This window comes from Homo sapiens, chromosome 14 (genome assembly GCF_000001405.40).
Source record: "Homo sapiens chromosome 14, GRCh38.p14 Primary Assembly".
Taxonomy (NCBI): Eukaryota; Metazoa; Chordata; class Mammalia; order Primates; family Hominidae; genus Homo; species Homo sapiens.
In genome coordinates this window covers 71,021,015-71,048,504 of record NC_000014.9, presented here as the reverse complement: position 1 = coordinate 71,048,504, position 27,490 = coordinate 71,021,015, and the positions used below count along the sequence as shown (strand labels likewise).

General features: G+C 35.3%; 1 protein-coding gene and 1 pseudogene across 27 annotated transcripts in view; one reads left to right on the top strand and one right to left on the bottom strand.

Moving 5' to 3' along the window:
- Positions 1-27,490, bottom strand: part of PCNX1 (pecanex 1) — a 207,924-nt gene that overhangs the window by 66,878 nt on the left and 113,556 nt on the right. For 15 of the 27 annotated variants that reach the window (XR_245673.5, XM_005267420.5, XM_005267422.5 and 12 more), the window contains 10 exons: positions 25,273-25,305; positions 22,217-22,388; positions 21,623-21,733; positions 19,714-19,805; positions 14,967-15,076; positions 14,469-14,574; positions 12,348-12,440; positions 3,222-3,372; positions 1,400-1,565; positions 521-698 (listed from right to left, as the gene is read on the bottom strand). Coding sequence is in view for 25 of the 27 variants with exons in the window: in XM_005267420.5 (XP_005267477.1) it covers positions 521-698; positions 1,400-1,565; positions 3,222-3,372; positions 12,348-12,440; positions 14,469-14,574; positions 14,967-15,076; positions 19,714-19,805; positions 21,623-21,733; positions 22,217-22,388; positions 25,273-25,305 (1,212 nt within the window). In the remaining 2 variants the exon portion in view is untranslated. The remainder of the gene's footprint in view (positions 1-520; positions 699-1,399; positions 1,566-3,221; positions 3,373-12,347; positions 12,441-14,468; positions 14,575-14,966; positions 15,077-19,713; positions 19,806-21,622; positions 21,734-22,216; positions 22,389-25,272; positions 25,306-27,490) is intronic. The other 12 variants (XR_007063992.1, NM_014982.3, XM_005267423.5 and 9 more) reach the window with 1 other exon arrangement.
- On the top strand, positions 3,865-4,130 carry GTF3AP2 (general transcription factor IIIA pseudogene 2; annotated as a pseudogene).

Sequence of the window (27,490 nt, the reverse complement as noted above, 5' to 3'; positions counted from 1 at the left end):
AGGACCAAGGTTTTACCATCTTATTTGTAAAAGGCCTAGAACATCTATCTTATGGGTGGATAATGAATTTTAGCAGAAGCCTATAAAGTTCAGAGTATTCTGCAAATATCACATCAAGCTAATTTCTGACTGCTCCCACCTAGCCTCAGTCTCCTCAGCCTCTACCTGCTTCATTGGGCTATGCCAGAGCCCAATTCAATTATTACCACTTCTGTTTCTAAAATTATTCAAAACTATATACCTTTTGAGAGATTCTATATATTTTAAAATATACTTATTAATGTTTCTCTAATTGTTTTATGTAACTTTATCTTCTTAGCTATAGCAAGAAATATATCTTTTATAAATCACAGTGACTATCTTTGTTTAGGGATTCTAATGTGCTCCTAAATAACTGGTTGAAGAGAGTTATTACTTAAACAATAATAAATCACATGAAATATAAGAAAAATTCTGACTAGCATATAACCCAGGGAGATAGTTTTTATAGATAAGGATATTCCTTTCAGTGATAAATTACCTTGTTGAAGAGTATGGACATAAAGAAGAGATCCAACAGCATGGTCTCTGAAAAAGCTTCATAGTCAAATTTGAAAAACAGCACAGTAAAGATGACTGTAACATACTGATATGTAGGGCTGCTAAAAGAGGATCGTAGCAACTTCAAACCAGCAACAGTGATCATTAAAGCACCTAATCTGTGGCACAAAGAAAACACAAATCAACTCATGACTGAAAACATTAGAAGAGACAGTAACTTAAAATAAAATTCACCATTTACTTTACTAAGCTTATAATATATACATTAAATGTAAGCTTCCAAAAATGATGTATAGAGCTAGGTAAATCACATCCTGAAAGTATCTGACTATTCCCTTTTAATACTATTCATTATGATTCTTATCCTTTATATGAAGGACTATGTTTTAAAAATAATAGTATTGTAATTCTGACATCTGATTCTCTAGTTTCTCAATATTTCTATTACTTTAACACCAACTGCATTTAGCAAATGAAAAACATATTAATGCTTGACTCAACAATAGGTACCTACTCTATTGGGCAGGCTCATCGGATGACTATGGAGGCAACTGACCATCTATATGGTGTAAGTTACATAGTGCATCAAAATAGCCACATAATATTAAAAATTAACCTTATTTTAAAATGTCCTCTCATAAAATATCAATTGACAATGAGATGTCTGGAGTACAGAATATGCCAACAGCAGAAACAAATGTTTAAAAAAGGTAAGTCAAGGACAAAATGTCACCTAAATTTTTAATCTCACAGTGCCTTGCATGAAGGAAACAATTATTTAATATTTGATCAACAACTTAAGACATTGTTTATAACAGCCCCCAGTAGTCAGACAATATTAGAAGACTACTATACTTACTCTGTATTCAGTTTCTTTGGACTAGCAATTGTCTCTGCACTGCTGCTCAGTTCATTGAGAACAATCAATGGATAGATTATATTCTTCTCCACAAAAAGAAGCCACACATGAAGTTTCTCAAACCACATCATAGTGGCTGCATCTAACAAGGCAGTATAAATCAAGACTACATGTCATCAAATGTATAGTTTGTCAATGTGATGAGAAAGAAAAATTTTACAACAAATTTAGTACCAAACTACAAATAAACTGTTTTTAAAAAGCCAGTACTTTAATCAACTGTCAACTTCTATGAGCTCTGAGATACTTACAAATTTGCAACTTAGACATGATTTAACATTTAGATGAGTTTCCAACTTTAATTCTTGAAACCTCAGTTTTTAACCATAACTTTTCTCATTTATGCTTATAACTTATTGAAAAAAGATTACTGAAGATCATTAGATTGCTCTTTCCACCCAAAATAAATAAAAATATGGTATGATTTGAATTCACATACTTAAGAGCAGCTTTCATTGCCAATAATATTTTTTTCCAATGCTACAATATTATTTCATTGGGGAAAGTGTCTAGGATAAACTAAAAGATTTAAAACATGGTTCTTTGGCTATCTGAAAATAGCATCACCTGGCTTTAGGAAGTTCTCTAAGAAATAATATTTTTTCTTTCAGTTGCTAAAATCAGTACCAGAAAAAAAAACAACTTTGCTGTTAGTACTATAAATGTCAAAATGATATGCTGATTCAAAATTTGTAGACTACATGTTCTAAGATTTAAAAAATAAGATCAATAATTTATTTTAATGAAAAGTGTTGGTCTTTAAAACAAACTAGGTATGTGTCATCATTTATATATGAAAGCAGTAATAGTTCACCATTAAAAACATATCTCATTCTGAGTTATTTTCCTGATGGTATAAATGGGCCAATAAAGATTCTTATGCAGCTTCATGTCATTTTTATTTATTAGGAAGCTTTCAAAGGCTTCAGAGTTCTCTAAAAAAGTTATCTTCAAGCAACTGAATGATTTACTCTACAGTAATTAGCTAACTGAAAAAAAAAGTGTGAGAAAAAAGTTGGCTTATTTAATCATTGGTATATAATAAATTATGACACAGGTATGAACATTTATTATTTCTCTAAAATGAGGAAGTACAATATATTACAGATAATGGGGCCAATGAACAAGAACTGAATACTTATAACAGGAAAGAAATGTCAGGGTTTACAGTGGTAAGGAAAAAGCTTGGCAAGTGAACTAGCCTCTTTTCCATCCTTTTATACTTTATTGCAAATCTGAACTAATAACAGCTATTAAAAATGTTTTTAATTTCTTTTTACTTTGTCAACTCTTTTACACTTTTCTCTGGTAGGACACAGTGTCTCTGGCAGAAACAGGAACAAAGACCTTTCTTCCTCCCTACGCATTAAGTTAAAACTATTTCAAATAGAGAGGCCTTAAAGAGGATTGGATTGCCTGTATATGGCATTGAAAACTAATTAGGGGGAAGAGTAGGGTCAGGAAAGAGAAGTAATGGACACACAAAGGAGGATTCATCAATGAGAAGTCTGTGAAGAACAATTTAGAGAGGGGAGAAGTAAGTTTCTTCTGTGGAAAACTGGCACTGTAGCACTGATACTCATATTTCAGCTAAATTAAAGCATCCTGCAAGAGACTAGATTCATTAACGGCTTCAAACTTAAGCAAAAGAAACACAAGCCAAATGTTCTGTTATGATATTCACTTAACTCAGTCATCTATCAATATAGCAAAGGGAAAAACTCATAGTATTAAAAAGAAAAAGTGCTAATGAAATACTTACTTCGAACTTCATACTGATTATACTCTAGTGTCTTTAGCAGAGGATGAGAGAAACAGTGCCATGGTAGCTGTTTTCTAACTTGAGGCAGCACATAATGGGTTACAAAACCCACAAAGCCAACCAATGTATACAACACATACTTGAGGGCAGGCTAAAAAAAATAATAGAAGTGATAAAATTAGGAGTGATTTTGAGACTCATTGTAGAAATTCTAATTTGTCAGTTCAATTTTCCATCTGATAATGGACAACGTCCATTTTAGAATATAAGAACTAAACATTTTTCTACAGTTAACATTTCTAAATTATGTAGTTTGTTCTAATCAGCCTTGAAAGTTAGTGACTATTCATACATCACAGATATTTTGAAACGGGTTAACTACTTTCTCTGGTGTCTTACACTATTGTATAATGAGAGAGTGGCCTAAGGTGTATTGCCTATTACATGAATGTTCTATGAGATGTTCAGAGCAATGTATTAAATTGTTTTCAGCAGCAGAGATAATGGGGTAAGGTGGGGTCCACCCGGAACAGTTGGCTGAGTGCACTGTTTCACAGTACATGGCTTAGCACACGGTTATGTGCCTGTCCCACAGCATGGAGGCCCCGGTGCCCTGCAGCCGCTGGCTTTGGTCACTGTGGTGGTGTCATCTATAACCATCACTGACCTGTTCATCACAGCCAGCAGAGCCCAGTATCTCCACTGCTACCCCTCATGCTTCGCAGGAGGGTCATCTGTTCCTTCCTGGATTGCATCACCAATTACAACAAGGCCTAAAAGCTTGATGCATACTTGTCCAAGTGCACAGGACAGAGACCATTTGTGACTATGAAGGTTGTGGCAAGACTTTCAACAGGGATTGCCATCTGAGCTGCCATATCCTGATTCATACTGGAGAACAATCATTTGTTAGAAAGATCTATGCATCTTGAAACTTTTCTTCCCTGCTACCACCAATAGCCAAGTATGCCGACTGTAGACCAAAGGACCAGCCTGCCCAGACCCAACATCACAAGCGCCCACGTATGCCAACCCATAGACCAAGGACTAGCACACCCAACCCACTGCAGCCACTACTGGCACCTGAGGACTAGCCTACCTAGCATCCGTACCCCTAGCAATGCCTCACCACAGCCTCTATTAACAAATGCAGCCTAAGTCACTAAGGAATTCACAGACATCACTATCACTAATTACAGTCAAAGAAATCATACGGAGAGTACACTACCGTGCACAACCAGAACCAAAGCCAAAGCATCCTGTCCAATCAACACTATAGATATATCTAAAGGAAACAGTCTTTCTTTCCAAATGACAATCCATACAATTGGAAAAACTGTTATATCAGATGTGCAGATATCAATGTAAGGACACAAGAAACATGAAAAAGCAAGAAAATGTAACACCTCCAAAGGAACATAATAATTTTCCAGTAACAGATACCAAAGAAAAGGAAATCTATGAATTGTCTGAAAAAGAATTCAAAATAATGATATGAAGGAAACTCAGTGAGATACAAGAGAACACATATGAATAATACAAAGAAATGAGGAAAACAATTCATGACCTAAATGAGAAACTCAACAAAGAGATATTTCATAAAAGGGAACCAAACAGAAATTCTGGAACCGAAGAATTCAACAAATAAAATAAAAAATATAAGCAAGAACTTCAACAATAGATTAGATCTAGCAGAAGAAAGAATTTCTCAACTTTAAGATGGATCTTAAAAAAACAAACCAACCAACCAACCCCAGGAAGGAAGGAAGGGAGGGAGGGAGGGAGGGAGAGAGGGAAGGAGGGAGGGAAAAGCTTACATGATATATGTGACAGTGCAAAAATGACCAAATATTTAAATTTTGGAGTTTCTAGAAGAAATGGCAAAGGCATAGAAAGCCTATTTAAGGAAATAATAGCTGAAAATTTCCCAAGTCTTAGAGGAAATACAGACATCTAGACACAGGAAGCACAAAGTTTCCAAATACAATTCACCCAGTGAGGTCTTTTCCAAGGCACATTATAGTCAAACTGTCAAAAGTCAAAGACAAAAAGAGAATTCTGAAAACAGCAAGAGAAAAAGGGTTAAGTTACATACAAGGAAACCCCCATTAGACTAACATCTAATTTCTCAGTAGAAACCTCACAAGCCAGAAGACACTGAGGTGACACATTCGAAGTGCTGAAAGAAAAAAACTCTTCAGCTAAAAATACTATACCAAGAAAAGCTTTATCCTTCAAAAATGAAGGAGAAATAACATCTTTACCAAAAAGCAAAGACTAAGGAATTTATTACCACTAGGCTGGCTCTACAAGAAATTATTGAGTCCTATAATTAGAAGCAGAAGGATGATATCACCATCATGAAAACACAGGAAAGGATAAAAACATTGATAAAGAAGATAAACAAATGATTTTTTTAAGTCAAATGTTATTACTACAAAAAACCAATCAAATTGAAGAGTAAACAATAAAAGAGGAAGAAAGGAACAAAGGATATGTAAAACATTCAGAAAACAATGAACAAAATGATGGGAGTATGCCTCCACCTAGCAAAAAACCCTGAATGTAAATGGCTTAAATTCCCCAGTTAAAAGATATAGACTGTCCAGATGTGTATCCTGATGTCAACAAAAATAAATAAATAAAAATACACTCTGCTTAAATTTTTTTTTTTTTAAAAACAGCCAATTATATGCTGCCTACAGGAAACTAACTTCACCTGTAAACACACACATAGATTGAAAGGGAAGAAATTTAAAAATATATTCCAGGCATACAGAAACCAAAAGCATGCTGGCGGAGCTATACTTGTATCAGACAAAATAAACTGCAAGTCAAAAGACATGAAAAGAGACAAAGAAGGTCGTTATATAATAATAAAGGGATCAATTCAGAAAAGGGTATAACAATTATAAACATACATGCACCCTACACCAGAGCACCCAGATACATAAGGCAAATATTATTAAAGCTAATGAGATAGACCCCAATAGAGTAATAGTTGGGAACATCAACACCTCGATTTCAACATTGTACAGATCACCTAGACAGAAAATCAACAAAGAAATATCAGACTTAGTCTGCACTACAGAACAAATGGACCTAGCAGACATTTATGTCATCCAATAGCTGCAAAATACACACTGTCCTCATTAACACATGGGACATTCTCCAAGACAGACTATATGTTATGCAACGAAACAAGTCTCAACAAATTTTTAAAAATTGAAATCATATAAAGTTATCTTCTCAGACCATGATGAAATAAAACTAAAAATAAATAACAAGAGGAACTTTGGAAACTGTACAATTAAATGGACATTAAACAATGTGCTCCTGAATGAACACTGGGTCAATGAAGAAACTGAAAATAAAATTTAAAAATTTCCAATACAAATGAAAATACAACATACTAAAACCTATGGAATATAGCAAAAGCAATGCTAAAGGGAAGTGTATAGTATAGTATAGTATAGTATAGTATAGTATAGTATAGTATAGTAGCAATAAATGCCTCCATCAAAAAAGTAGAAAGAGTTCAAACAACCTCATGATGTACCTCAAGGAACTAGTAAGAAAGGTAAGAGCAGAAATAAACGAAATTAAAATGAACAAACAATACAAAAGATCAAGGAACCAAAAAGTTGGCATTTTGAAAAGATAAATAAAATTGACATACCTTTAGCTAGAAAAAGAAAGAAATACCCAAATAAATAAAATCAGAGATGAAAAAGGAGATATTACGATTAATAGCGCAAAAATTCAGAGTATCATTAGTGGCTACTATGAGTAACTATATGTGAATAAATTGGAAAATCTAGAGAAAATGGATTAATTCCTAGACACATACAACCTAACAAGATTGAAAAATGAAGAAATCCAAAAGCTGAACAGACCAATAACAAGTAAAAAGATCAAAGCCATAATAAAAAGTCACCCAGTAAAGAAAAGCCCAGGACCAGATGGCTTCACTGCTGAATTCCTCCACTGTTGCTGGGAATATAAATTAGTACAACCACTACGGAGAACAGTTTGGAAGTTCCTGAGAAAACTAAAAATAGAGTTACCATATTATCCAGCAATCCCAATGCTGGATATATACTCAAAAGAAAGGAAATCAATTTTATTGAAGGGATATCTGTACTCATGTTTGTTGCAGCACTGTTCATATTAGCCAAGATTTGGAGGCAACCTAAGCGTCCATCAACAGATGAATGAACGGATAAAGAAAATGTGGTACATATACACAATAGAGTACTATTCAGCCATAAAAAAGAATGAGATTTTGTCATTTGCTATACCATGGATGGAACTGGAGGTCATTATGTTAAGTGAAATAAGCCTGGTACAGATGTTCTCACTTATTTGTGGGAGCTAAAAATTAAAACAAATGAACTCACGGAAATAGAAAGTGGAAGGAAGCATGGTTATCAGCGACCGGGAAGGGTAGTAGGGGTGGTGGGGGGAGGTAGCAATGGTTAATGGGTACAAAAAGTGTAGAAAGAATGAACAAGATCTAGTATTTGATAGCACAAGAGGGTAACTATAGTCAATGCTCATTTAATTGTACATTAAAAATAACTAAGAGTATAACTGTATCATAACACAAAGAACAAATGCTTGAGGGGATGAATACCCCATTTACCATGTAATTATTACACCCCATTTACCATGTGATTATTACACACTGCATGCCTGTATCAAAGTATCTCATGTACCCCATAAAAATATACACCCATTATGAAAAAAATGAAGAACGTTTAGAGGAATAATGGCCAAAATTTTCCAAATTTAATGAAAACTGTAAACCACAGATTCAATAAACCCCAAGCACAAAGACATGAAGAAAACTATGTGAAGGTACATCATAATCAAATTTCTAAAACCTAGTGATAAAAAGATAATCTTCAAGCAGTACAGAAAAAAAGTTATCTACATAGCAATAAATTCAGTCAGAAGCAATAAAAGGGAGAAGACAGTGGAGCAACATCTTCATGTACTAAAAGAGAAAAAACCTGTCATCCTAGAATTTTATACCCAATGAAGTATCTTTCAATACCAATAGCGAAATAAGGACTTATTCAGAGCTACAAAAGCCAAGGAAAGTTGCAGATTTTCACTACAAGAAATGTCCTAGGACAGCAAGAAAGGGGGATTTTAAACTGGAGAGGAGGCAGGGTGCAGTGGCTCACACCTGTAATCCTAGCACTTTGGGATGCCAAGGCAGGAGGATCACTTGAGCTCAGGAGTTCTAGACCAGCCTGGGCAACATAGTGAGACTTCATCCCTAAATAAAAGAGAAATGTCCTAGGAAATCTTTCAAGCAGGAGGAAAAATGACACCAAATGGAAACATGGATACCCACAAAATAATGCAGGGCACTAAACATGGTAATTACATGCCCTACAGATGAAAGACATAGTCCTTGATGAGCTGTACTTAAGGAACAACACCTAAGAAGCCTTACCCATACCTGAACCTGATTTAGATAATAACATTCTAGACTTCCAACTGTACTGGAATGAGACTTTTCGGGGTTTTAGGAGAGGGTATGTGCACTTTGCATATAGAAGGGATGTCGATCATGGAGGTCTACTGATGGACTGTGGTAGTCAGCTTCTGAAATGCTTCCCATGATCCTTGCCTCTTGCTTTTGTACTTGAGTATATTCTCTTCTCACAATGTACCAGGGTTAGTCTATGTGCACAACAGAATATGGAAGAAATGGTGGCATGTCATTTCCAATACCAGGTTATAAAAGAGTACAGCTCCTGTCTTGGGCTTTCTCTCTCAAGGACCACTTGCTCTGGGGGAAACCAGCTGCCATTTTGTGAGTACAGTTAGGCAGCCTATGGTGAGGACCACATGGAGGGGAACTGAGGTCTCCAGCCAATAGTCAGAAGGAACTGAGGCATGTAAACAGTGAACCTCAGATGATTTTAGCATCATGAAAGATCCTGAGCTAGAAGCATCCAGCAAAGCCACTCCCAGATTCATAACCCAGAGAAATCATGAGAAAATAAGTATTTGGTTTTTTTTGTTTTTTTAATTTTTTTTTTTAATTATACTTTAAGTTTTAGGGTACGTGTGCACATTGTGCAGGTTAGTTACATACGTATACATGTGCCATGCTGGTGTGCTGTACCCATTAACTCGTCATCTAGCATTAGGTATATCTCCCAATGCTATCCCTCCCCACTACCCCCATCCCACAACAGTCCCCAGAGTGTGATGTTCCCCTTCCTGTGTCCATGTGATCTCATTGTTCAATTCCCACCTATGAGTGAGAATATGCGGTGTTTGGTTTTTTGTTCTTGCGATAGTTTACTGAGAATGATGATTTCCAGTTTCATCCATGTCCCTACAAAGGACATGAACTCATCATTTTTTATGGCTGCATAGTATTCCATGGTGTATATGTGCCACATTTTCTTAATCCAGTCTATCATTGTTGGACATTTGGGTTGGTTCCAAGTCTTTGCTATTGTGAATAATGCCACAATAAACATACGTGTGCATGTGTCTCTATAGCAGCATGATTTATAGTCCTTTGGGTATATACCCAGTAATGGAATGGCTGGGTCAAATGGTATTTCTAGTTCTAGATCCCTGAGGAATCGCCACACTGACTTCCACAATGGTTGAACTAGTTTACAGTCCCACCAACAGTGTAAAAGTGTTCCTATTTCTCCACATCCTCTCCAGCACCTGTTTCCTGACTTTTTAATGATCACCATTCTAACTGGTGTGAGATGGTATCTCATTGTGGTTTTGATTTGCATTTCTCTGATGGCCAGTGATGGTGAGCATTTTTTCATGTGTTTTTTGGCTGCATAAATGTCCTCTTTTGAGAAGTGTCTGTTCATGTCCTTCGCCCACTTTTTGATGGGGTTGTTTGTTTTTTTCTTGTAAATTTGTTTGAGTTCATTGTAGATTCTGGATATTAGCCCTTTGTCAGATGAGTAGGTTGCGAAAATTTTCTCCCATTTTGTAGGTTGCCTGTTCACTCTGATGGTAGTTTCTTTTGCTGTGCAGAAGCTCTTTAGTTTAATTAGATCCCATTTGTCAATTTTGGCTTTTGTTGCCATTGCTTTTGGTGTTTTAGACATGAAGTCCTTGCCCATGCCTATGTCCTGAATGGTAATGCCTAGGTTTTCTTCTAGGGTTTTTATGGTTTTAGGTCTAACGTTTAAGTCTTTAATCCATCTTGAATTGATTTTTGTATAAGGTGTAAGGAAGGGATCCAGTTTCAGCTTTCTACATATGGCTAGCCAGTTTTCCCAGCACCATTTATTAAATAGGGAATCCTTTCCCCATTGCTTGTTTTTCTCAGGTTTGTCAAAGATCAGATAGTTGTAGATACGCGGCGTTATTTCTGAGGGCTCTGTTCTGTTCCATTGATCTATATCTCTGTTTTGGTACCAGTACCATGCTGTTTTGGTTACTGTAGCCTTGTAGTATAGTTTGAAGTCAGGTAGTGTGATGCCTCCAGCTTTGTTCTTTTGGCTTAGGATTCACTTGGCGATGCGGGCTCTTTTTTGGTTCCATATGAACTTTAAAGTAGTTTTTTCAAAAATCCTCAATAAAATACTGGCAAACCGAATCCAGCAGCACATCAAAAAGCTTATCCACCATGATCAAGTGGGCTTCATCCCTGGGATGCAAGGCTGGTTCAATATATGCAAATCAATAAATGTAATCCAGCATATAAACAGAGCCAAAGACAAAAACCACATGATTATCTCAATAGATGCAGAAAAGGCCTTTGACAAAATTCAACAACCCTTCATGCTAAAATCTCTCAATAAATTAGGTATTGATGGGACATATTTCAAAATAATAAGAGCTATCTATGACAAACCCACAGCCAATATCATACTGAATGGGCAAAAACTGGAAGCATTCCCTTTGAAAACTGGCACAAGACAGGGATGCCCTCTCTCACCACTCCTATTCAACATAGTGTTGGAAGTTCTGGCCAGGGCAATTAGGCAGGAGAAGGAAATAAAGGGTATTCAATTAGGAAAAGAGGAAGTCAAATTGTCCCTGTTTGCAGATGACATGATTGTATATCTAGAAAACCCCATTGTCTCAGCCCAAAATCTCCTTAAGCTGATAAGCAACTTCAGCAAAGTCTCAGGATACAAAATCAATGTGCAAAAATCACAAGCATTCCTATACACCAGCAACAGACAAACAGAGAGCCAAATCATGAGTGAACTCCCATTCACAATTGCTTCAAAGAGAATAAAATACCTAGGAATCCAACTTACAAGGGATGTGAAGGACCTCTTCAAGGAGAACTACAAACCGCTGCTCAAGGAAATAAAAGAGGATACAAACAGATGGAAGAACATTCCATGCTCATGGGTAGGAAGAATAAATATCGTGAAAATGGCCATACTGCCCAAGGTAATTTACAGATTCAATGCCATCCCCATCAAGCTACCAATGCCTTTCTTCACAGAAAATAAGTATTTGTTGATTAAAAAAACAAATAAAAAGTCATGTATTTCAGCACTACGGACAAATATTAAAATCGAATCAGAAATAAGTCCAAACAAAGTTATAGTCCTGCTTAACAACAGGATACGTTATGAGAAATGTGTGTTTAGGCAATGTCATCATCGTGCAAACATCACAGTGTACTTACATAGATAGACAAGATAGTATAGCCTACTATCACTGAGGCTATGTGGTAGAGCCTATTGCTCTTAAGCTACAAAAATGTATAGTATGTTACTGTACTGAATACTGTAGGCAACTGTAACACAATGGCAAATACTTGTGTATCTAAACATATACAGGCTGGGTGAAGTAGCTCACATCTGTAATTCTAGCACTTTGGGAGACTGGGGCAGGAGAAATGCTTGAGCCCAGGAGTTTGAGACCAGCTCGGGCAACACAACAAGACTCAGTTTCTACAAAAAAAGAAGAAAAAATTCTTTAAATTAGCCTGGTGTGGTGGTGCACAACTGTAGTCCTAGCTACGTGGGAGGATCACTTGAGCCCAGGGATTCAAGGTTAGAATGAACTGTGATCGCAACACTGCACTCCAGCCTGGGTGACAGAGTGAGACCCTGTCTCAAACAAACAAACAAATAAAAGGAGAAAATGATTCCTTACCTGCAATACTGTGAAGACTGTGCTTACATGAATAGCAAAATACAGCACACCAATTACAATGCATACTACCAGGTCAGACTGTAATCGCTCACTCTGTGGGGAAAAAAAAGAATTATTAAACAATTACATAAAATTTTTAAAAATCTTTTTCCTTTATTCCCAATTGGCAAAGTTTAAGAATTAATTTTTTGCCTGGCTAGCTCAGTCAGTATTAAAGAAAAAAAAAAAGAAGTTTTCATTGATACTTTAACACTTCTAGAGTCTCTCTTTCTCTAAGATGGAGTGCAGTGGGACAATTTTGGCTCACTGCAACCTCCACCTCCTGGGTTCAAGCGATTCTCCTGCCTCAGCCTCCCAGGTAGCTGGTCGTGCCACCACACCCCACCATACCCAGCTAATATTTTGTATTTTTAGTAGAGACAGGGTTTCACCATGTTGGCCAGGCTGATCTCGAACTCCTGACCTCAAGTGATATACGCCCATCTTGGCCTCCCAAAGTGCTGGGATTACAGGTGTGAGCCACCACACCCCACCATACCCAGCTAATATTTTGTATTTTTAGTAGAGACAGGGTTTCACCATGTTGGCCAGGCTGATCTCGAACTCCTGACCTCAAGTGATATACGCCCATCTTGGCCTCCCAAAGTGCTGGGATTACAGGTGTGAGCCACCACACCTGGCCACACTTCTAGATTTCTTACACATAATAATTAACCACAAAAAATCTTATTTTCTTCCTCAATTTCCTCATATTTTGGCTTTGACACTGTAATACCAAAGAAATTGAACAACGTATCTAGTTCTGCATGCCGTATAACATATTGCAATAAAGTCTTTTAGAATGAAGATTTTATTCCCCCATTGGTAAGTTTTACTTTCACATATGGGGAAAGGAAATAAGGTACCTTAAGTTACTGTAATTTTTTGTTTGTTTTTGAGACAGGGTCTCACTATGTTGCCCAGGCTGGAGTGCAGTGTCTATTCACAGGTATAGTCATTGTACACTAGAGCTCAGAACCCCTGAGCTCAGGGGATCCTCCAGCCTTAGTCTCCCAAGTAGCTGAATTACAGGCACACACCACCACTCCTGACCACGGTGTCATTTATAGGGGTATATCCCTTTGGATAACTTATATCTTCATTGGTCTTTTGACATGTGAAAACTGTGTGCTTAAGTCCTATTTTACTTATTAGATTTTGGTTCCATCAGTGGTCATAGAAAAACCAGAAACCTCTTGATCTCTTTGGTCATCAACTGACCTCTTAGATTTATGCTTATAAGCCAGATTCAGAATATCCTACTATACGTAACATGAAACATCCTCTGCCAACATGGAAACTAAAGTTAGAAAAAAGTCATTCTAATATCTTGATATAGTTTTGTATTTCTAAAGTTTCTGAAAAAAATATGTGAACAGGTCAAGTGCACTGAAAGTAAATGTGTCTAATTCAACATCTACATAAATTCAGTCTTTTGCAAAGGAAAATGACCTAAAACTGAGAAAAAGATTTTGTTTTATTCCATAAATAGACACAATTTTACAGAATTCATTTTTCAAATAATTACTAAAAGAATACAAGCAACATTACAATTCACCAAATTAGAAAATTTAAAAAATTACTGCGTTTACTTAAGTACATTAATACAGGTTATTGTTCTCTCCTTCAGCCTAGAATACACACACAGTTTTCAGATGGGCCTTGAGAAATAAAACAACCTAAAAGACTAATAAATGACTTACAGAGACATAGTTTTTTTCAACAACAAGATGAACAACAACAACAAAATGAATCTAATTTGTGTTAATGCTAATCTTTCAGATCCTAGTCTAAATCAAATAGGAGTAAAAATTCTATGGCCAATGAAATGACTTAATTTCACCTGACCTAAAAATAAATGTTTAGTATTCTGTTCTACACACAAACCAAGTCTGAGGAATGAGCATTTCTTATATGTTAATATTTGGAATAAAGACAATCAACAATGTACAACTAATCCTATAAATTATAATTATACATTTTTCTCCAATTACTAATGACTTTCAAAAAGTGTTCCTCATATAACATGATCAACTGTCTAAGATTTAAGTCTTTTAGGTGATTCTAAATGTTAAAACTTACAACAGAATTTCTAAGTTTTTCAGGCAGTGGATCTTTTACTTCAGATAGAGGGTCTTCTGGATTTTTCTCTTCCGTTTTTGGAAAAATCTTGGATTGCACTAAAGAGCTTTATGTGAAGAAAAAAAAACAGAAAATACATAGATAATCTGAAAACCAGTAATTCAAACGGGCAATGAAGTTTATGATAGAAAACCAAATGATTCGAGTATATTTAATCATTACCAAATGAGAAATTCTAAAATGTTTAGGATACCATAAATAAGCATACAGTGAAAATATTTTTATTAAAACATAGTTTCAATAATTGGGAAGGAAAACACTAATATTCTCAGCCAACCTGATTTGAATAACCCAAAATTATTATATTTTGAAACTTAATATAGATTAGGCCAAAGCACTTTGGAAAGGCATTGGGAAAAAGAGATCTTCAAAGGTATTTGAAAAAAACACCAACTTACTTAAATTTCTTTTAATTCAATAACAATTGAGTTCACTTACAAAAGTACAGATGGATCACTGCTTTGTCGGCTGAGATGGTAAGACACTGCCACTAATAAACCACAAAAAATGGAGAAAAGTACTGGAATATGCTGGCCATCCCAAGAATCCTGCGGAAAAATGAATTTAACAGAATAATATGCTTCTAATTTGTAATATATCACATAATCCTTTTATGTACGTATTTTGGAAAAAGACAACGAACTTAAATTCAACAAAAGTTTTTAGCCACGTTATTAATTGCATTTTATTCCAGAAAAATTTAGATTTATTACTTTCTGATGAGTTAGAATCTGGCCACTAAATGTCTTTGGTACTAAAGCTACAGATGTTTTTGGGGGGAGGGCACTAAAGCTCTACTCATACATGAGGAATAATTTGCTTTTGATGCATGAGGCTATCAATTCTTTCACATTTTAAGTGCTATTGTTTGTGGTAAACTGTGTTCCTTTTGGAAGAATAAGATATCTTGGCATAGTAAATTTTAGATACAATAATAAGAGTAGGAAAAGACAACACATGATATATTAGGCAAAAGAAAAGTCTGACATTTGGTGTGTTACTTTCTTGATGCCTTTGCCCATGTAATAAACTACTATGTCCTCCACAGCACTGAGCAGGCATTCAGTAACTGTTTTTTGAATGAATGACTGCATATACCCAGAAGGAAATACTACAAAGGCTATCTTCCAAAGCCAACCACACGTGGTCACTCCGTATGAGCTCTGCTCATTGTAGCATCTCTGGAGTCTATCAGCATGATACCTGGCAGAGAATGGGCAATACACTAACTGGAACAGGTAACAGTTCTTAAGTATGTCCTGTGAGGCAGACAATACTCTAATCCTTCATTGTTCTCTGGAGATTCAGAAAGGAAACATGGTAGGAGTGGGGACCCAAACGGCAGTTTTTAATACAACTTGCCTTTTTTCCACTTAAAAGTAGACTTGGGAATTGTTTCACATCATAACACAGACATTTTATTTTTTTAATAGCTACATCAAAACCTTATCATCATATTGAACACTGTGTAGAGCTGCATCCTTAGATCTTTGTATTTCCCAAATAATTTTTACAATAACCTTGAAAATATGTACTATTACCCCCCAATTTATAGATGAGAAAACTAAGGCACAGAAGAGGGTTTAAGTAATTTGTCCAGTTAAGTGGCAGAGCCAGAAAGTGAACTCTTGACATGTTTGAATGTACTGAAAAGAAAGTTAATATCTTAAGAGCTTGAGAATGAAAGGGAGATAAATACATATGAAAGCAAAGTATAGGAGAAAACAAAAGATATGAAGGAAGAGCATTTACACAGTGATAATAAAGCAAACACATCAGGTATATGAGGGAGACAAGAGAGGCTACATGTGTAGTGCAGGCTGGGGTGAGAGAAAGTAAGTCAAGCCTCTGGGAGACCCTCTCTTGAGCGACCTGCTTTCTCAGCATGAGGAAACTTTCTCTCTCTCTCTCTTCTTCTTTGTCTATTAATCTTTCCACTCTTAAACCCACTCCTTGTGTGTGTCCGTGTCTTGAATTCTTTCTTGGCATGAGACAATGAACCACAGTGCCTAGAAAGAGCCATGAAGTTTGCCTTTGGGGAGTTCCGCCTGTGGTACCAGTTTGCTCTGTCCCTGATGGCTGCTGGAAAATCTGCTCGTGCTGTGAAAGTGCTGAAACAGTGTGTCTACCTGAAGCCAGACGATGCCACCATCCCTCTCCTCGCTGCCAAGCTATGCATGGGCTCCCTGCACTGGTAGGAAGAGGCTGAGAAGTTTCCCAAAAATGTCGTTGATGTGAGAGAGAAAACATCAGAGTTCAAGGCCAAAGGCCACTTAGCTCTGGGGCTCATGTACAGACGTGAGCAGGACCTACTGACGGTGAGAGACGTCCCACCCACAGAGCTGTTGAGCTGCAGAGCTGGGCTGCCTAAGTCTATTGTGCAGGATTAGACTGAGTCCCCTTCTGTCTCAGGAGGTTGTTGAAGTTGGGGCATTCTTGTGTGCTGTCCTGTGGGGCCCTAGGTGCTGCTGTCCTCTTTGTTTGGTCTGACGGGAGAATGGGAGGGCAGGAAGGAAGGTCCTGTGCCAGGGCTTCTGGACCTTGTTTTCAGGTGCATTATGCTGTTGGTGCACTGGGCACCTTGCTGGGCTTTGAGGGATGATTTGCCCACTCAGCCTTGTACCTGCACACCTGTCCCAGCACTTGGCCTGGGGTCCCCCACACCAAGTGCTAGGAAGGGATGTTGGATTTGAGGTATAAGAATGTAGATGAGTCAGGGACAGACACTTCCAGGGAGCTTCCCTTGACTGGTCAGGAAATGCCCCTTCTCCATTTGCATATTTGCACATTTGCACATTTTAATTCGCAGATATGTACATGTGCAGTGTAGCAGCTCACCAGACACCCAGGGCTCTTGGGCACAGTGATTTTGGGTGTGCTTAGAGTTTTGGTGGAAGGGCTTCTGGCTAAGAAAAAAGTCTTGTATACTTGGTGAAGTTTTCAGTGATGTTTGCAGAAAGTTTAAATTAACAACCTTTTTCTGAACTGTTACTATTCTTTAATAATGTTGTTAAACATAACACAAATGTAAAAAAAAGAAATCTCAGAAACAAATGGATAACTTAATGAATTTGAATTAGTATAAGGCAAAATATCCTTATAACCATCATCCTGCTCAGGACCTCATTTATGATGATGAGGGAAGGGATATGGGAGACAAAAGCCATAAATTCCTGGACGTAAGCAGGGAATTTGGCTTTGAGCTGCTTAATGGCCAAGGGAAATTTTAAAAATAACACTGGTTATATGGGGAAAAAACAAAAAGCCAAAACCAAAATGCATTCTAGATTTCTTAGGAAAACAAACAAGAACTGGCTGTCATCAAGATTTAAAAGAAACATCTTGATTGAGTCTTTACAGAAGGGACACTAAACAAAGCATTGAAGGACATCAACATTACAGCCCCATGATAAAGGGACCGCTGTTTTCTTACACACACCCTTGGAAGGTGCCTCCGTGCAAATGGCAGGCATAATGCTGAAGGGAAACGTGGGCAAGGAAACCCTAGAGGTGGCCAGACAGCCTGGTCCAAACATGCAGCTCTCGGATGGTTTAACCTAATCTAGGCACGTAAACTAGAATACTCTGAGGAATAAATGGACCACATGCATTCTAAACAAGCTTCTAAAAAAAAAGAAAGAAAGGAAGTCAAGCCTCCAACTTTCATAAAGGGCAGTCCACAGGTTCTGCTGAAGCTGTCAGAAAATGTAAGAAGCAGAAATGAAAGGTAGATCTATACAGGTAAATGCCAAAAAGAATCAGTTAAAAATAGTAAGTCTGAGGAAGGTAAAACAGGTTAGGAGATTGCTGTTCTTGCTATAAGTCTTGTAAAACTATTTGACACTGTGATATATGAATGTACAACTCTGATAAAAATTAAAACTAAAAAAACCAAAAGATGTCCAGCACAACGACTTTGGAAAACTGTTAATTCCATTTCTAGGTATTTACCCAAGAGAAATGAATACACATGTCCACAAAAAGACTTGCAAGATGATATTCACAGCAGGCTTATTCATAATATTCCTCAACTAGAAACATCTCAAATGAGCATCTCTAACACAGCAGGTAAACTGTGATATAGTCATACAATGTGGGTAAGAAGAAATTAAAACTAAATGATCCAGCCTTTGCTTACCTTTCTAGCCTTAGAGGAATGACCTTAGATGTCATCTTTCCTCATGTACCCAAACCTCCAGAAATTCCTAATCATTTGCCATTTCCTCTACACAACACATTTTCTTTACAAGTCCATGGGTCTTCATTTCTTGTTTCAATTAGCTAATGCCTATTTGATCTTCAAAATCTGGTTATATCACCTTCCTGGAAAATTGTCTTTAATCCCTTTTGGCAGAATAAAGTAGTCTTAATTTGTACACCCACAGAACTGTTTTCATAACCTTCGTTACACTGTCTTGAACATGCTGGCTGACTTGTTAATCATAGCTAATCTACAAGCTCCTTCAAAGCAGAAAATGGTTTAGCATAGTACCTGGTACACATAAATGCTCTATAAATGCTACTTAAATGAGGCAAGGAAGGATCTGTGAGTCACTTGTCATAGTCCTTTCAACCCTACCATTCTCTGATTGTCTTGCACTAGTCGCCAAACAAAAAACAAAAATAAACCACAAGTATGCATGAGGAGCTGAAAGCTGTCTACAAAAATTTTTAAATTTTTATGTTTACAACTTGTTGACAATCTTTTAAAGGAAAGTTCATAAGGCTCATCCAGATCTTCTAACCCAATAATGACGTTAAATTTCAGTATATTACTTTTTATTAGCATGTATCTTAAATTGCAGTCCTTGAACTTGTTTTTATAAGTTTAAAAAAACTAATAGGAAAAGTAGTTAAATTCTTAACTAGAATTTTAAAATTGATTTCATATTCTGTAATTACTATGCCTACCCTTATACCAGATGAGCCTAGTTTTCAATAATCTGTTTCTAATATTAACCTACGACTACTGCAGGAAAAATAATTTTCTTTTAGTAATGGTTAACTATTAAACTACTTTCAAATTCAAAGTAGTTGAGAATGAGAATAATGTTTAACATATGAAGACCATGAAAATTAATGCTAAGCGATACCAGGGGAAGAAATCATTATTAGTTGATTTTAAAACAACCTTCATATAGAAATATAGCCTTAAAGACAAAACATACTATAATTTATTGCTCACCTTTAAAGCCCCATAACATAATCCATACAATAAGGCTACTGCAACAATGCTACAGATAAAACTGTAAAGTGCTGCAAGCAGGCTTGTAGTGGCTAGACAGGAAAAGGAAAAGGTAAGAAACATTTTATAAAAATATATGAAAATAATTAAAAGGTCACTGAAAAGCATTTAAAATATTATAATGTCAACTATCATTAAATATCTACTAATCTGAATTTCAGAAATTCAGTTACTTCATTATTTCTTTCAAAAAGATTTTGACATGAACAGAGATTTGCTATCCTGAGTCTTTGTTACGAGATAAAATATGTTCATCTTGGAAGCAATAAACATTTATATGTAGCAAGAAAAAATTTTATCTATATTATGCTTCAAGAATATATCTTATATTAACAAAAAATGTGGAAAAATGAAGTTTTCAGAGGCCTGAACAGGAACTGGAGATGTATTAAGTGTTCACTGAAAAACATTTATCTATGTAAACAGAACCTGTGTTACCCCCAGAAGTAAATCTGTATGCCCATGTGTTAATTTTCAGAAAAAAAGTGTAGATCTAATTGCTAACAATAACAACAACAAAATAGATACTTTAGATCTAATAACAGATACTTTAGACACTGTAGCTCTAATTGCTAACAATAGCAACAACAATGAAATAGATAATTACTAATACTCCAATGGGAGTTATTAGTAATAAGGAATAGGGGATGGCTAAGATATCTAGACTTTATTTTTAAAACATGGGTAACAGATTTTCTTTAGTAGTAATTTAATAATAATAAAAGAAATCTACAGAAATAATTCCTTATGAGATATCAGAAACCTAATACCTTGCATAAGTTTGTAAATTATAGTATGACAAAAGCCCATTATCATAAATTACCTACACTAAGCCCTCCCCATAGTATTTACAGTAATATAACACCAGTAATAGTCCCTAAATATTCAAACTGTCTTCTACCCATTAAGCCATGCTGATTGATGAAACCAGTTCTGTCTTAATTCATACCCCTTCAAAAAATTTTCAAAACATTAAAAATTCTCTAGTATGATATACAGCAACATAGCAAAAACTCAGTTTCTATTTAAAATGAAAGCCATAATATTGACATTTTATCAGCAGAGAGGATTTCAATGCATATGCTTGGAAAATAAATGAGGCCTGAAAATGTGAAACGTGTAGAGAAATGAACTATAAAGTTACAGTAATTTCTTTCCCTTTCATTTTCTCTAGTTGCAAACTCATCTTTCAGTAAAATTTTAAATGGTTAAACTAAATAATGGTATATTTTAACCATGGTGTATGCTGATATGATTATTTTCAAGTTCTACAAACCATTATCTATTCCAGGGTAATATGGAAATAGATTTTCTAAGTGTATCAATTCATAGCCACATATTCTACTCAATGAACAGAGATAGTTCTTAAAAACTTATTTATTACTAAAATACTTTTAGATTCTGGTTTTGGTGTTACCATTCTAAGGATAAAACAAGGCTCTGAAACCAAATATGAAGACCTACTAAATGCACATACTGGTTTAAAATCCAAATATAATGCTATGTATCAAACCTCAATCTACTCAGGATAGATGATCTTTTATGAATACCTCTTAAGTATATGTAGGCTCCATGTAAATTCACTAGAACTTTTAGTTGCAGACATTATTTTATAACTTCTTAAACATCTGCTTCATTATACCTGGCTCTTTCTCTAAAGTAGCAGACTTGACTATTTTTTCCTATCCACAAATTAATTGCTTCTCAGTCTTCAATCACTTAATGTCTTTTTTTTTTCTAATTTCAAGCCTGAAGTGAAAACTGGAAAAGCATTTTAATGGTCAGTTTATTACTTCATGATCTATAAAGGTAATACTGTAATCTATAATTTTTATAAAGAAGTACTCACCATTACCACCAAAAATATGAATATCCAATTGTTCACAAAGGTACATTACAAATGTATTCACCTGAGGCAGGAGACCAATGAAAAACACTATTGGGAAACAGAGTGTAAACACTATAAAAAGAAAGAAAAGTATATTTTAAAATATTATACTGTATCCATTCTTGTGTCCACTGAGAGGTCATAATTTTTAAAAATCCCAAATTAACATAAACTACTAAGCAATTTTTAAAAGACAGTATTTTAAATGATACCTCTCAACATAATTGCTTGGGTAGTAAATAACATCTTTTCAATCATAAACAATACTTTTTAAAGTTATTTCAACCATTTTCACATAATAGAAACCTAAGATAACAAAACCAAAAAAATCTTCTGCATTATATCTACTCCAAGAACAAAAGAATTACTATAATATTTGTTCATCATTAGCTTTATTCACTCATAATAGTCCTATCACTTTGTTCCTCAGAGCACATAATAACAGTAAAATAAGCTTATTAAAAACTAAAGCTGTATAATTGATATATTTATCAGTAAAATGTTGATATACAAATAAATTAATTTTAAGATTAGAGATACTTTAAGATGACTCACCTATAACTAAATCCCTGGCTGATATAAACACCAGTGGATTGGTGAAAGTTATTCCATATAATTTGAACTTGGTTGCAGTCAGGTTTCTGCTACCATAATCCAAGAGCCAAATAAGACCGCAACATATGCAGAAATAAACTGGTCTACTGTAGGCAATGATACGATTATGACCCTGAAAATGATATTTTTTAAAAGTCAGTTTGGTTAATTTTAAGAGTCACAAATAACTACTGGTATCACTGATGGCTTTATTCTAAGGATTCAAACTTTTTCCATATGGAAGCCAGATTTCTGACAATCACAGAAAGGATTAACAAATATAGAAAGGAGGAAGAATAACAGAATGAACTCTGAGATACTGGACTGAAACAGAAATATCAGTGTGAAATTTTGTGTTTTTTATTGTTTGTTTGTTTTTTTGAGACAGGGTCTCACTCTGTCGCCCAGACTGGAATGCAGTAGAGTGCTCACAGCTCACTGCAGCCTCAGCCTCCTGAGCTCAAGTGATCCTCCTGCCTCAGCCTTCCAAGTAGCTGGGACTACAGGCGCACATCGCTGCACCTGTTTAATTTTTTTAGAGATGGAGTTTCACCATGTTGCCCAGGCTGGTCTCAAACTCCTGGTCTCAAGTGATCTGCCCACATTGGGCTCCCACAGTCTCATTATTTTTAATATGCATATAAATAGATATAGGAATGGGTAATATATATGTATATACGTGTGTATATATGTACATACATACATACACTTCCTAGCTTTATCCACTAAGAGGACCTAGATGCAATGAGATTCTAGCAATAATGATTACTAGCAACTAGATCTTACTTTATAAATACCATTACCTACCAAAAAAGGTGGGGGGGCTCCATAGAGAAAAGACTGGTTTCTGGCTACAACAGGGAAAGTATAAGATGACCCTGGAACATATTGTTGTGACAAAAAGGTAGAAAGTACTTAAAGAATGACAGAGATATGTCAAAAGGACACAGAAAGCTGCGTGATGGACTCCCAATGGCTAAATCAGGGACAATTTGAGCATCAAAATAAATACTATTAGTAACATTATAGTCCATTGAATAAAATCATCCATTTATCCACACCAATACATACCTACATATATAAGAAGGGAAAGCTCTTCCTTATAGTATTAATAAATAGTCAACTAATAAATGTAGAAGGAATGACAGGATGAGAAAAATCACCATTTGGCAACCAATAAATGATAACTGAATCAGGCAAGAAACATCAGTAGATACTAAAACAATCGGATAGAAATTTATGGAGAAGGACACATATACAATCTCAGGGTATCTCTCTATGAGGTATTTATTTATTTATTTTAAGTATTTATTATCTGTAAGAGAAAAACAGTAACATTACAGTAGAGTAATGGTTCTTAAGAAAGTGGGAGGGGGTTTTGCTCCCCAGTGCACATATGTGAATATCTGGACACATTTCTGTTGTCACAATTGGGGAAGTGGTGCTACCAGCATCTTGTAGGTAGAGGATGCCAAACATCCTACAATGCATTGGACAGCATTCCGCACCCTCAAGCAAAGAATTAGCTGGCCAAAATGTTAATACTGCAGAAATTTCAGACACCTTGAAGACAATACCCTTAACCAGAAGATCAAAATTAACATCACTAGTAACAGGATAAATTAGTATGTGCTTTCTAATATGATGCACTTTTGCAGTATTCCTACTTTAAAAAGCACGGCCTTATCAAATCAGAAACATCATCAGCACCATAAGACAGGGTGAAAAATAAAAAAAAAAATTTTTTTAAAGAAAAAACATCAGACAAACTCAAATTGAGGGATGGTCTATAAAATAACTGGCCTATATCTATCAAAAATTTCAATATCATGAAAGATAGCTTCCAAAGAATTGCTCCAGATTAAAGGAGATTTAAGAGACTAAACATAATCAAGGACTTTCTATTGCCAATGAAGACAATGGGCAAAACCTATTTGAATAAGATCTATATATTAGAAGACAGCATTGTACCAATGTTAATGTTCTAATTTTGATAATTATCTTGAATTAACTAACATAAAGGAATATCTTTGTTTCTAAGAAACACACTGAGATATTTAGAGATAAAGGGGCATCATGTCAGCTAGCAGAGAGAAAGAAGGAAAAATGATCATGTGCTAGAAAGGGATTAAGCAAATATCATAAATGTTAACTTGGGGATCTGGATGAATAGTATCTGAAATTCTTTGTACTGCCCTTCCAACTTTAAGTTTGAAATTACGTCAAAATAAAAAGTTGAAAAGCAATGTTTCCATATATCATTACACTTCAAAAATATTCTTACAAAACAGTAATCAGTCAAAAACAAAAACCACACTTGCCTCTTTGTTTTATTTTGCTCATCCATTCCCATTATTCATTATTCCAGTGAAAGGATTAAAAAAATTATATTCAAGGAAAAAAATCATAAACTATTCATGAAGTCTATTTTTGAACTACTTTAAATAGAATATCCTCTGTTCTATTAAAACCTCAATTTACATCTAAAATTGGATCCCATTTCACAATAAATAGTGCTAGGCAGATAATATTTTTGTCTAAAGTCACGAAGTGAATAACAAAGTTTTTATTCAATGGTCTTAACACCAGACTCAGGTATTACTTCTTTATTCTTGCTCCTAATGGTTACTCAAGTGAAATAATATAAAGTTTTTCCTACTTCAAAATTCTATTTTCAATACCTATTCATAAGCTATTATTCAAAATGTATTAAACACAAATAATCATGAGTTTATAAGAACCATGTCTACTCCCTGAAACAGACTATCAAAAAGTGAATTATCATGCTCATTTTCAACCAAGATTTAGAGTCCACAAGTACAATGTCATTTTATTTCAAGCTAACAAAACACCTATATTTCTAGTAGTGTGTCAAAACATAGATGAGGAAAATAATAACATAAATTTTAGTTCAGGCTGATGCATTCCAAACAAAACAAAAAAACAAAAAACAAACCACAAATATTATGATAAATGTTAAGGACCTATAATGTACAGCCATATTAAGAGTGACTTACATGTCTGGGAGAAGAAGAATCTGGTTGAACACTCTAAAAATGAAACAGAAAGACAAATTACACTCCTGAAGTCTTGCTAATTTTACAACCAACTTTCAAAATGCCTGAAATGAATGATTTTAAGTAAATATTCCACAACCACAAAATGACCTATATTAATAATTCTGTTCCAGAGATGAAACATCAGCTCCAGATACCAGTGTCACTGTGATATTAAAAACATATCAAATCTTTCCTGATAAGAGTCAGGAAATAAGATTATTATGTATTTATTTGTATCTATCTTAAAGTTTCTGCAATAGCATATGATAGACAGAGCCATCTTACTGTTTGGCTTATTGCTATATACAAGTGGAGTTAAGGTATACTAAATACAAGTATAGTATTTCTCACAGGACATCATTCATTCAGGAAATATACAATAATAGGGGTTCACTTATAACAACAATTCTAGTTCTGCCCATAAATTCCAAGCTTACTAAATAATTCAATGGTATTTGTAATAAAGATATTATCTGCATTTTCATATCAAAATAATCAAATAAGTTAAGCTGTATCCTTTTAAGAGATTTTATTAACTTCCCATAAAAATGTTCAGAAGGTATTATGCAGCTACTTCCCTACTCATGACTTTTCTCCCAAGTTTCAGTTCATTTCCAATGGCATACCATACAATTTCACTAGGATTATCTATCACCACCCTACCATTCGATACTGGGCCAAGCTCACTGAGTTTGGCATTTGGCCCTTGGCTAGATTTGACTCCAGATAATCTTTAAACTCTTTTAACCACAGCGCCTATCTTCTAAATGCTTCTGTTCTTGTCTTTCTTATCCCTGTTTATGACATTATTATTCTTCTAGTCAACTAGTTGCAAAAATCTGTCACCTTTTACCTTTTCCATATTTAACCACATTAACCTGAAAGCAGTGGACAAAATTAATTGGACCATGGAGACACTAGAGCCGCAAAATGAATTTAAATGATTTAGGGCACTAAAGGTATAGTGCAAGACTGACAACCAGTAATTTTAATATACAATCATTAAATGTCATCAAAGGGACTGGGTTACTTGTTATTAGTGATCAAGGAGGAAGGAGCAGTGACTCAAAGATTTTTAGCAGGTATATCACTGCCAAAAGCAAAGATATTGGGAAAGAAAAATTAACCAGGAGATGATTAATTTGCTATTTTTAAAATGTCTGTTAGATACACAGGACTAAAGCTTGCAAAAGAGGTGAAGACTTTGAGATATAAATCTGGAAATAACTCATATACAAAGGCAACAAATAAAGCAATAAAAAAGGATGACTTCACTGGAAAGGAACTGTAAACCGAGAAGATAACCACATAAGTCCTAGAGAATTCTCATAAATTAAGCAGTTGAAAGAACAAAGAGGGATCAACAAAGGAAAAGAGAGTCATCTGAAAAGTGAAAGAAACATGAGGGTGGTATAAAGTCATGATCAAAAATGAGGAGAATATCAAAATGGAAGAGTATACATAGGTATTAAATGATGTAGCATTCATAAAGCATGGAGACTTAAGAAAAGCAATTTAGCAATTAGAATGATCATTAGCAACCACAAAGACTATAATTTCAGTACTGCAATGAGGAAAGTATGGATGGGTCTTAAAGAAATAAAGCAGATGACCTAGGTGGCTTACTCCACATGTCTAGCTATAAATGGAGAAGAGAAAGAAAGGATGGACAGCTGTTAGTAAAAACAGAACTATGTCAATGGTTTTCCAGCTGTGGGAGGGCTTCTCTTCAAGGAGAACTACAAACCACTGCTAAGGAAATAAGAGAAGACACAAACAAATGGAAAAACATTCCATGCTCATGGATAGGAAGAATCAATATTGTGAAAATGGCCATACTGCCCAAAGTAATTCACAGACTCAATGCAACCCCTAGCAAGCTACCACTGACTTTCTTACAGAATTAGAAAAAACTACTTTAAATTTCATATGGAACCAAAAAAGAGCCCACATAGCCAAGACAATCCTAAGCAAAAAAAATAAAGCTGGAGGCATCACGCTACCTGACTTCAAACTATACTACAAGGCTACAGTAACCAAAACAGCATGGTACTGGTACCAAAACAGATATAAAGACCAATGGAACAGAACAGAGGCCTCAGAAATAACACCACACATCTACAACCACCTGATCTTTGACAAACCTGACAAAAACAAGCAATGGGGAAAGGATTCC